We start from the raw sequence: 12,085 nt of genomic DNA, 5'->3' as shown, positions 1-12,085 counted from the left end.
CTCAGCCTCCCAAGTAGCTAGGACTATAGGCACCCTCCACAACGCCCACTAACTTGTGTATTTTTTGTAGAGATGGGGTTTTGCCATGTTGCCCAGGCTGGTCCGGAACTCCTAGGCTCAAGGGAACGCCTGCCTTGGTCTCTCAAAGTGCTAGGATTACAGCCGTGAACCACCATACCCAGCCCATTACTACTTTTTATAGAGCTCTGCTGTTCACAAAGTACTTTTACATAATTTACTGAATTGGATTCATGTGACTACCCTGTGCCATGTCAGACACATGTTAAAATTATTTCTACCTTACTTGATGGAAGTAAGACCCAGATTAAGGGACAGCAAATGGGGAAGGCAGAATTCCATGCTTCAGTATAGTCTCTCCTTTTTTGAATAATGCTATTTGTTAAAAGAGCATGTCTCAAGACAGTTTCGAGAGATGTGAGGGGAATTTTGAAGGAAAAAGGGAATATCTGGGCTTACATAAATGTAGGAAGCTTTCCATCTCTTAGATCTGTGAGAATGTAACAGGTTACATTCTATATATGTGTTAGAATATAAGAGCTAATTTCAGCCACTCAGAATCGCACCTCTTAGAGACAACTCCTTGTTTAAGTATAGAATGTATTCCTCCAGGCTCTGAAAATCTCACTGCCACCTGCCTGCCTTTGGGGCATTTTAGGATGGCCATGATGTGCCCTTGGAGGCTTCCCTTTTCCTGGTAAACAGCTCATTGTCCACCCTCTGTGGTGAGGGCTCCTCTCCATGACCGCTGCCCCACTTTGAGCACATCCAGTAAGTGGCAGATGGGAGCACACTAATGTGGCTGACTGCGAGATCCCCACGTATCACTCCATCAGACTTGGCTGCCGCCCACTTTGCCTGTAGTGGTGACGAGACAAGCGAGCCCTGCTCTCTGAAATGCCTCACTGTAGGACAGACAGCAGCAGACCCTGTGCCTTCTGAGTTTCCTCTCAAACTACCTGTTTTACTTGGACTTTTTCTTTTTTTTGAGTTGGGGTCCTGCTCTGTCACCCAGGCTGGAGTGCAGGGGTGCAGTCATAATGATCCTCTGGCCTTGCCCTTTCAAGTAGCTGGGACTTCAGGTATACAACACCACATACTAAGACTTTTCTTACAGCCGGTCCTTCTATCTCCCTTCCCAGGCCCTCTTCCAAACTGCTGTAAGAATTTAGTTTTTAAGAATTGTTTTTAGGCCAGGAGATGTGGCTCACGCCTGTAATCACAGCACCTTGGGAGGCCCATGTAGGAGGATTGCTTGAGCCTAGGAGTTTGAGACTAGCCTGGGCAACATAGTGAGACCCTTAAAAACTAAATAAAATAAAAAATAAATAAGAATTATTTTTAATAGCGCAAATTTGATCACTTCTTTTCCTGCTTAAAAACTTTCAGGTTGGGCACAGTGGCTGACACCTGTAATCCCAGCACTTTGGGACAGGTGGATCACTTGAGACTAGGAGTTCGAGACCAGCCTGGCCAACATGGCAAAACCCGATCTCTACTAAAAATACAAAAATTAGCCGGGTGCAGTGGCTCACACCTATAATCCCAGCTACTCAGGAGACTGAGACATGAGAATCACTTGAACCTGGGAGACGCAGGTTGCGGTGAGCAGACATCGTGACACTGCACTGCAGCCTGGGCAACAGAGTGAGACTCTTGTCTCACAGGAAAAAAAAAAAAGAAGTTTCAATGACACCCCCTGCGTAAATCCCAAATGTTAGGTCCCTAGTTCCTGCAGCCCCTGTCGTTTGCCATCATCTGTGTCCTCTGTGGGGTTCAGCCACACAGGACTTAGCCCATATTTCATGGTGTCTTTCTGAGAAGTGCCCGATAATCACAACCTTCCCTTCTCCCTCATCTACCCTTTTTAATCCGGCTGTTTCTCCCTCCCTTCTTTCCTTACTTGTTCCCTCTTTCAGTGGCCATTTCTTATGTTGGCCTCTTGGCGTCTCAGCTCCCAGTGGTATTGTTGCCCATCCTTTCTGCTGTAAGTTGCTGGTTTGCGTCCTCTTTAGACAGATTGGCAGTGTGCTGCCAGCTGTGAGATACCAGCTTTGACACAACTGGAGCTAAACTAAACTCTTTGAGTCTGTTCTCTAGTGCTTGAAAAAGTCATAAAATTTAGTATTCACTTCTTTATGAATTGATACTGTCTTATGAAAATATTACAAATTCATCTGTTTTTCAATCATAGTTTTTTGTTTGTTTGTTTTGATTTGTTTTTTTTTTTTTTTTTTTTTGAGACGCAGTCTCCTACTGTCACCAGAATGGAGTGCAGTGGTGCAATCTTGGCTCACTGCAACCTCAGCCTCCCGGGCTTAAGCAGTTTTCCTGCCTCAGCCTCCCAAGTAGCTGGGATTACAGGCACGTGCCACCACGCCCAGCTAATTTTTGTATTTTTAGTAGGGACAGCGTTTCACCATGTTTGCCAGGATGGTCTCAATCTCTTGACCTTGTGATCCACCCGCCTCGGCCTCCCAAAGTACTGGGATTACAGGCGTGAGCCACCACACCTGGCCTCATAGTTTTCTATTATAGTTTCTAAATAATGGATTTTCAAACAATTATATGCTTTTGGGTTCCTATTTACTATATTTCTATTTTAATTTAAAATAATTTTATTTATGTAGAGACAGGGTCTCGTCGTGTTGCCCAGGCTGGTCTCAAACTCCTGGGATGAGGCGATCTTCCCACCTCAGCCTCCCAAAGTGCTGGGATTACATGTGTGAGCCACTGCATTGGGTCTGGGTTTATATTTATTAAATGTCAAATGACTGAATGACTTTATTTTTGTTGATTTTTTTCCTTCTTTTTTTTTTATTGTGGTAAAATACACATAACATAAAATTTGCTATGTCATTTTTTTTTTTTAATACAGGATTTTACTCTGTTACCCAGACTGGAGTGCAGTGACAAATTCATAGCTCCACTGTAGCCTCGACCTCCCAGGCTCAAGCAACCCTCCTGCTCCAGCTTCCTGAGTAGCTGGGACTATAGGCCCATGGTGCTGTATCCGGCTAATTTTTATTTTTTGTAGAGACAGGATCTCCCTATATTGCCCAGGCTGGTCTTGAATTCCTGGACTCAAGCAATCCTCCCACCTCAGCCTTCGAAAACTCTGGGTTTATAGGCATGAGCCACCATGCTTGGCCTTAATTATTTTAAAGTGTATAGTTTAGTAGTATTGAATACATTTATAATATTGTGCAACTATCACTACAATTCATCTCAAAAACTCTTTTCATCTCGTGAAACTGAAACTATACATCAATTATTCCCCATTTCCCCTTCCCCCAGTCACTGATAGCTACCATTCTACCTCTATGTATGATTTAAGTTCCTCTAATAAGTGGGATCGTACAGTATTTGTCTTTTAGTGACAGGTGTATTTCACTTAGTTGCTCTGACTTTGAAACTTCTAGTAGTGTGCATTTTTTTTTCTAATTTTGGTGAGAAAATATCTCTGAGGCCCTGTGGACCCCAAGCTTTCATATCTCTTCACCTTTAAAAAGGTGTATTTCTGCTGGGCATGGTGGCTCACGCCTGTAATCCCAGCACTTTGGGAGGCCGAGACAGGTGGATCACTTGAGGTCAGGAGTTCGAGACTAGCCTGGCCAACATGGCGAAACGCCATCTCTACTAAAAATACGAAAATTACCTAGGTGTGGCGACGGGCATCTGTTATTCCAGCTACTCGGAAGGCTGAGGCAGGAGAATTGCTTGAACCTGGGAGGCAGAGGTTGCAGTGAGCTGAGATCACACTGCTGCACTCCAGCCTGGGCAACAGAGCGAGACTCTGTCTCAAAAAAATAAAAATAAAAATAAAAAAGATACAATTCTTTTTTCACTTCCCACATACTAAGTTATATTGTCTAAGATGGAAATATTAGGACCATCATATCTGAGTCTTTGACCTGAAAGACACAGGTGAGGGGCATCAGTCCCCAAGGATTTGCAATCTACCCTGTAGTTGTTAATTTAAAAACATGCAGAGAATTGGGATATAAATAAAGGCAAAATCTGCACCTTTGTTGGTTATTGGGGGAGTCAGCTTGAGGAAGTACCCTAGTTGCCTGTCACCACGGCTGAGTTTCCAGCTTTATCTCCCACCAGCCTCCTGCTTGCCCGATGGGACTGCCCTAGAGCCTGAGTACTACTTTTCAACCATCAGCTCCAGCTTCTCAGTCTCTCCCCTTTTCAACGGTGTCACATATAAGGAGTTTAACATTCCATTGGAAATGCTTCGGGAACTCTTAAACCTGGTAAGCAAAGAACTGATGGATGAACAGACCATGGATATGTCAGTAAAATTGCTAGTGGTGAAACTTGTATTTTTAAAAGAAAAACTCAGAGTACCAGTATTTCAAAGTACAATTTAATAGTCATAAACTTGCAGATTAATGAAGGAAGTAGAGTAACATTCATGGAATCATTGTATACTGGTTTCTCATTTCATTCTTGAGCAACCATGTTGGGGAGGCACCCATGCATCCCCATTTGGAGGTCAGGAAATCGGTGTCAAACACGTCATGGATATGTAGGCCAGCAGCTGGGCTGCATCCAGTCCAGGGATTCTGACTCCAAGTCCAGTGCTTTTCCTGGGCTTGACTTCCTCTAAGGGGTGGCTCTATTTGGGTTAATAACAAAACCTGACTTTTTCATATTTGGGTACCTTTGGATGACATTGAGGGTGATACCAGAGAAAACACCAGGGCCATTGTTCGATTCCTTAAATGGCCAGAGCTTTGGTCAGATTCAGGGACCCTGGTTGGACGCCGTGGCTCATGCCAGTAATCCCAACTTTGGGAGGCCAAAGTGGGCGGATCACTTGAGGTCAGGAGTTCGAGACTAGCCTGGCCAACATGGTGAAATCCCATCTCTACTAAAAAACACAAAACTTTAGCTGTACATGGTAGTGGATCCCTGTAATCCCAGCTACTCAGGAGGCAGAGTTAGGAGGATCGCTTGAACCTTGGAGGTGGAGGTTGCAGTAGTCAACATCGCAGCACTGCACTCCAGCCTGGGCAACAGAGTGAGACTCCATCTCAAAAAAAATTACAAAATAAAGATCCAGGGGCCCTGAAGTTGTTACAATCAAGCTAGGATGGTTCAAGACAGATTTGAATAGGTACGGGTGATGATGTCATCAAGGCCAGACTCTCAAGATTGGGCTTGCTGTCTTGGAAATGAGAACAATTTGGATAGCATGGAGCATGTGCTGAGGAGTGGCCACCTCCCTGCTGTGTGGAGTGTGAATAGAAATCCCTCAGAGAATGGCTTCAGGCTGAAGATGTAAGAAGACATTACAACATAGGTAATAATTAATGAGGATGGAACCATAATGAATTACTAAATAGGCTAGGATGTTTTTGAAGTTGCTGTCAAGAAGGAAAACTACCTAAACTGCTTCTCAGTGTCAGTGCCCCAGATAGAATGGTGGCCTGGTAGAGCCATGACCTTCACAGATGGCTGTTCCCAGTACCATGTCAGAAATTCTAACTGAAGACTGACTGTTTCACATCCTTTCTTGGGGTATTATTTTTTGCAGTATATTTTAACTTTTAACTTTCTTCAAGTTTAGGTTTTCTTTTTTTTTTTTTTTTTTTTGAGATGGAGTCTCGCCCTGTCGCCCAAGCTGGAGTGCAGTGGCACGATCTCGGCTCACTGCAAGCTCCGCCTCCCAGGTTCACGCCATTCTCCTCCCTCAGCCTCCTGAGTAGCTGGGACTCCAGGTGACCACCACCACGCCCGGCTAAGTTTTTGTATTTTTAGTAGAAACAGGGTTTCACCTTGTTAGCCAGGATGGTCTCGATCTCCTGACCTCATTATCCGCCTGCCTCGGCCTCCTAAAGTGCTGGGATTACAGGCGTGAGCCACCACGGCTGGCCTAGGTTTTCTTTTAGGCGGTTTTTCATTTCTTTTCCTAGGATGTTTATCATTATCTATACATTTTGGAAATGACTTTCATCAAATACTACAATTGTGGATGTGGGCAGTTTTTTTTTTTTTTTTGTGGTTCTGCAGTTGACAGAACAATTCATTCCTACACTAAATACTGTACAGATAACTGGTGAAAATAATTGCTTCTATTGAAAATTTAAAATATGAGCTCTAGTTTGAGTACCTAAGCAGTTGTAGAAGAGCCAGTGCACCTGGCCCGGAGAGGAAGGAGGTGCCATGAGCTCCAAGGACTGGCTGTGAGGGTGTCCTTGATGTCTGGGAGGGGATTGCAAGAGGATGTCACACAACTGTGCCTGTTAACCATGAGTGGGTGAAATGGCAGCAAGGCCTGAGGTCTGCACATCCTGGAAACAGAAATCTCAGGTCAACAAATCTGAGGGAGTTTGGCCTTTTTCCTTTGTTTTTATGTCATTGCTATCTAAGGTAGAAAAGCAGTCCCAAGTGACTTCAGAATTAAAGGCATTTTGTGCATATAGTTTGATACATAGCCATAATTTGTATTTATTGGCCTTTATCTGCATCACATTTTTCACCATGTGAGTTTGTCATGGGTTTTCGGTAGAAGGAGCTAGCATTCCTGTCTCTGTGTATGTCAGTTGCTTCATGAGGTTCTGTTTCCTTGGTAGGTGAAGAAGATCGTTGAGGAGGCTGTTCTCAAATCTTTGGATGCCATTGTAGCCAGTGTGATGGAGGTATGTCGCTTCTGAGGGCATTACCATGAGATCAGCCTGACTTAAACGTGTGTAGAGAAAGCAGGAAGAGTTTGAGCGGGGGCTGGAGTGGAAGGGGTTTTGCAGTGTTTTCACTTTCCTTGTTCATGTGGTAACAATCCACCTGCCGCGGAGGGCTTGGTCTGTGGTAGGTACCGTTGCATGCTCTTTTAAATACGTCACCTCAGGGTGCCTCTGACTGGTGGCATTACAGACAGAAGATAGAGTTTTAGTGAGAACTCACTAACGTGCCCACATCACATAGTTACTGTGGGAGCTGGGAGTCTGGCCTGGGTCTCTCCTACTCTTTTATCTTCCTCACTCCTTTGGTGCTTCCAAAGCTGCTCCTCTGGGCTCAGAGCTACACTTTTCTAGGCGTATGCAAGTCCTGGTTTTTAAGTGTAAGGGGTGCGTAACTAGGGAACTTTTTTTTTTTTTTTGAGATGGAGTCTCGCTCTGTCGCCCAGGCTGGAGTGCAGTGGCGCAATCTCGGCTCACTGCAAGCTCTGCCTCCCAGGTTCACGCCATTCTCCTACCTCCGCTTCCTAAGTAGCTGGGACTACAGGCACCCTCCACCACACCCAGCTAACTTTTTTTGTATTTTTTAGTAGAGACTGGGTTTTACCGTGTTAGCCAGGATGGTCTCAATCTCCTGACCTCGTGATCTGCCTGCCTCTGCCTCCCAAAGTGCTGGGATTACAGGCGTGAGCCACCATGCCCGGCTGGAACTCTTGTCTTTAATGTATTTGGAACCAAGGCCTACAGCATTATTTATGAAATCATTACATTGGTGCTGGGAGGTCTCAAAAATCTCGGGGAACATTTGGGTCAGGCCCCTCTTGAGGGTTAGGATGCAGACAGGTTGTCATTTGCCAGGCTAATTATTACCATGGGTATGTCCCTGACCCAGATTCCTTATTGAAGCCTGGTGTTCCTTCTCTCACCTGATTTTAAGACACACAGTGCCTGATACCACTGTACCTGGGGCTCAGGTATGAAGCAGGGAAGGAACTACCAGGGCCCTTCATGTGCTGTAGACCATGTCTCTTCCTGCTTCGTACCCCTGCCAACGAGCTATTGCAGATGTGAGATGTATGTGCTGGCCGTGGTTTGGTCTGGGTTGGTTCTTGGTTAAGTAACAGAGTTCTTATAACTCCCCAAGTTGCATCTGGGCAGTTCCTACCTTGTCTCCAACCCTTTTTCAGGTTGTCGTTCTGCCCATTGGCCTGAGCTTTAACTCTCTCACTCACTCACTATAGACTGAGCTTGTGGTCTCAGAGACCTTTGGTTTTCCATCATAAGTGTTTGATCATTTGTGACTGAGGGCAGACCAGGAGGACCAGGGCGAGAGCTGGGCTGGGCAGTTAGACAAGTGGAGACTTAGTGGGCCTGCACTCCACCTCTGGGACCCTCCTTCTCATTGAACCAGGGCAGTTTCTGGTATTTTTTGTTTTGTAATTTGTTCTTTAGCATAAACATCCATTTGAAGAAACAGTTTCATAGCTAAAAAAAAAAAAGTTTCTTGTAATCTTGACCTAGAGTCTGCAATATATTACTCAGTATCCATAATCAGTGTAATAACCACTACCAATTATTACATGCTTATTATGTGCCAGAACTTTACTCACTCACTCCTTGAATCTCACAACAATCCCCAGTTTACATATGGGGAAACTGAGGCTTAGCTCAGGAACTTTATTTACATAGCTCGTGAGTGATGGAGCTGGGCTGTGGGCTTGTAAGATGGTTGGTCTCCAAGGCTCCAAAGTTTAACACTCGTGTTGTCTGGACTCCCAGAGTCAAAGCCCTGAACTGCTTTAACCTCTCCCAGTCTCATTTCTCCATTTCTGCCCTGTGAGGACCACCAGACGTTGTCTGTAAAGCCATCATTGCAGTGCTGTCAACCACAGCTCTTCCTGTCAGTGTCCTCCTGGGAATTGGCATGACTCTCACACTCTCCACATGATTCTTTTTTTCTCCACCTGCTCACTCACCCTCTGTCAACCTCACACTGCATGCCCTATCCCACTCTGGCCAACTTCTGGCGCCTTAAAGATTTGCTATATTTGCAGACCACTTTTATACTTGTCAAGAATTATAATATTAGCTGGGCATGGTGGTACATGCCTGTAGTCCCTGCTACTCAGGAGGCTGAGGCAGGAGGATCACTTGAGCCCAGGAGTTCAAGGCTGCAGTGAGCTGTGATCATACCACTGCATTCCAGCCTGGGGTACAGAGTGAGACCCTATCTCTAAAAAAAAAAATGAAAAAAACGAGTTATGATAAACCATAATTTTCCATCCTACTCAACTAGGAGTATATAGAAGTTAAGGACTGTTATCTTTTTTTTTTTTTTTTTGAGACGGAGTCTCACTCTGTCACCCAGGCTGGAGTGCAGTGGCGTGATCTTGGCTCACTGCAAGCTCCGCCTCCCAGGTCAAAGCAATTCTGCCTCAGCCTCCTTAGTAGCTGGGATTACAGGTGCACGCCACCACGCCCGGCTAATTTTTTGTATTTTTAGAAGAGACAGGGTGTCACCATGTTGGACAGGCTGGTCTTGAACTCCTGAACTCCTGATCTCGTGATCCACCCGCCTTGGCCTCCCAAAGTGCTGGGATTACAGGCGAGAGCCACTGCACCCAGCCTTTTTTTTTTTTTGAGACAGAGTTTTGTTCTTGTTGCCCAGGCTGGAGTGCAATGGCGCGATCTCTGCTCACCACAACCTCTGCCTTTCAGGTTCAAGCAATTCTCCTGCCTCAGCCTCCCAAGTAGCTGGGATTACAGTCATGTACCACCACGCCCAGCTAATTTTGTATTTTTAGTAGAGACAGGGTTTCTCCATGTTGGTCAGGCTGGTCTCAAACTCCCGACCTCAGGTGATCCACCCTCCTTGGCCTCCCCAAATGCTGGGATTACAGGCGTGAGCCACCACACCCGGGCTGGACTATTATCTTTCTTAACTCATTAGACCTTGTGTGAATTTTTTTTTTTTTTTCAGAAGAAGAATAGTGCTACATTTCAAATAGATTCCTAAAGAATAATTTAAAATGAGTTTTAATTACAAAACATAAGTTGTATCTGAAGGTGTCCTGGCTGTAATTTGTATCCTTGGGATGATGGACAGTGTGGATCCCTTACTCTGGTGGCCTTTGTCAGTCTTCCTCCTTCACCACTTCCCATGTCCCTGTCTGGGCCAATGATGGCCAAAGATGGTGAGCTTCAGCCACAGCAAGGAGGTTCTTCCTACTAGGGTGCAGATGGCTGCTCCCCCGCAGGCATCTCTGGACTGCATGAGCCTCCTGTTTTCCTTGGTCTGATGCTTAAGAGGATGAAGACAGTAGAGTGTCCAAGTGATGAGTCATGATAAACAGTTGCTTCATTTAGAATGCTAAGTCACGAATCACCATTCCGCTGGGCCTTGCTGTGAAGGCAAAGGGTGGGCAGAAGGGCATTTCTGTTCTATAGTCATGTGTGTCTGCCTTCCCTGCAGGCCAACCCCAGTGCTGATCTCTACTACACTTCCTTCAGTGACCCTCTCTACCTGACCATGTTCAAGATGCTGCGTGACACTCTGTACTACATGAAGGGTGAGGACAGTTTGCCCATGTGTTTGTGAGTACAGCAAGACTGGCTCCCAGGCCACTGTCGCATGCTAGTGGTTGCAGACTGGTACTCACTTTCTGCTGGGGCCACTGAAAAACACATATGAGCAAAGTGGTCATGTTACTGAAATTTTGGGAAAAAAGCAAATTTAAAAAATCTGTCCATGATCCTGCAACCCCGGTACCATCGATGATGGCTCCTTTGCTGAGTTTATTTCCTAAGGTGTTTATCTAAAATGTGCATGTTATATTGTCCTAAGGACAGATACAGTTTTACATATCCATTTAGATAGTTTAAAAAATTAAAAAAGAGGCCAGGCACAGTGGCTTATGCGTATAATCCCAGCACTTTGGGAGGACAAGGTGGGCTGATCACTTAAGGTCAGGAGTTCGAGACCAGCCTTGCCAAACAGGGTGAAACCCTGTCTCTACTAAAAATACAAAAGAAATTAGCCAGGCGCAGTGGCATGCACCTGTAATCCCAGCTACACAGGAGGCTGAGGCAGGAGAATCGCTTGAACTTGGGAGGCGGAGGTTGCAGTGAGCCCAGATCGTGCCACTGCACTCCAGCCTATGTGACAGAGTAAGACTCCATCTCAAAAACATTAAAAAAAAGAAAATGAAGTACTTGTAATACATGTAATCTGTTAATGTAGAGGTACTAGCTTTTTTTTTCAGACAGAGTCTTTCCCTGTCGCCCAGGCTGGAGTGCATTGGCATGATCTGGGGTCACTGCAACTTCTGCCTCCCAGGCTCAAGCAATTCTCTCGTGCCTCAGCCTCCCAAGTAGCTGGGATTACAGGCATGTGCCACCACGTCTGCCTAATTTTTGTATTTTTAGTAGAGATGGGGTTTTACCATGTTGGCCAGGCTGGTCTTGAACTCCTGGCCTCAAATGATCCACCCACCTTGGCCTCCCAAAGTGCTGGGATTACAGGTGTTAGCCACTGCACCCAACCTGAGACAATAGCTTAATAGTTAACATGCACACACAACAATTTAGCATTTTCTTCTAGTCCCTCTTTCATGAATTTTGTTTTTCCCAGAAGTGAGGAAACAATCTTTTATGCATTTTACAAAATGTTTTTCCTATGCTCTCCCCTCACACTGTTGAGTGTTCTTCGTAAGCTTAAGTTTTGATGAGCACATAATATTTTGTCAGGAAGGTATACCAAAATTTAGTAACCACTTTCCTAATCTGATTCTGAACATTCCTCAGAAGCTGAGTCATCTGGGCCACGGCAAGGGTTGAAACTCCCTAAGAAGGGGCATCAGGGATTACCCCTGCCCTCCCCACCACCCCTGCTGTGTGTTGCTGGCTGCCTTGGCTGGGCTGACTTGTGCGTGCATCATGGTGGTTCTCCTGAATTTTCCAGGCCCTGGGGATGAGAGTTTGAAAAGTCTCTCAAACTCAGGGTGAGTGCTCTGAAGATCCAGATAATTCTCTTCTCAAGGCTGCAACCAGTTTTTGCCCTTATCTGACAACCTTTTTCTTTCTTTTTTTTTTTTTTTTTGAGATGGGAGTCTCGCTCTGTCGCCCACGCTGGAATGCAGTGGCACGATCTTGGCTCACTGCAAGCTCCGCCTCCCGGGTTGACGCCATTCTCCTGCCTCAGCCTCCCGAGTAGCTGGGACTACAGGCGCCCACCACCACGCCCGGCTAATTTTTTGTATTTTTATTAGAGATGGGGTTTCACCGTGTTAGCCAGGATGGTCTCGATCTCCTGACCTCATGATCTGCCCGCCTCGGCCTCCCAAGTTGCTGAGATTACAGGCGTGAGCCACCGCGCCTGG

General features: G+C 45.6%; 1 protein-coding gene across 8 annotated transcripts in view; it reads left to right on the top strand.

Annotated features, from left to right (window-relative positions):
• Positions 1-12,085, top strand: part of PI4KA (phosphatidylinositol 4-kinase alpha) — a 151,121-nt gene that overhangs the window by 41,174 nt on the left and 97,862 nt on the right. For 7 of the 8 annotated variants that reach the window (NM_001362862.2, XM_005261635.2, NM_058004.4 and 4 more), the window contains exons 8-10: positions 4,132-4,280; positions 6,606-6,671; positions 10,180-10,276. In NM_001362862.2, the coding sequence (NP_001349791.1) occupies positions 4,132-4,280; positions 6,606-6,671; positions 10,180-10,276 (312 nt within the window). The remainder of the gene's footprint in view (positions 1-4,131; positions 4,281-6,605; positions 6,672-10,179; positions 10,277-12,085) is intronic. The other variant, NM_001362863.2, reaches the window with a different exon arrangement.

This window comes from Homo sapiens, chromosome 22 (genome assembly GCF_000001405.40).
Source record: "Homo sapiens chromosome 22, GRCh38.p14 Primary Assembly".
NCBI lineage: Eukaryota > Metazoa > Chordata > Mammalia > Primates > Hominidae > Homo > Homo sapiens.
This window is presented reverse-complemented; position numbering and strand designations above follow the sequence as displayed.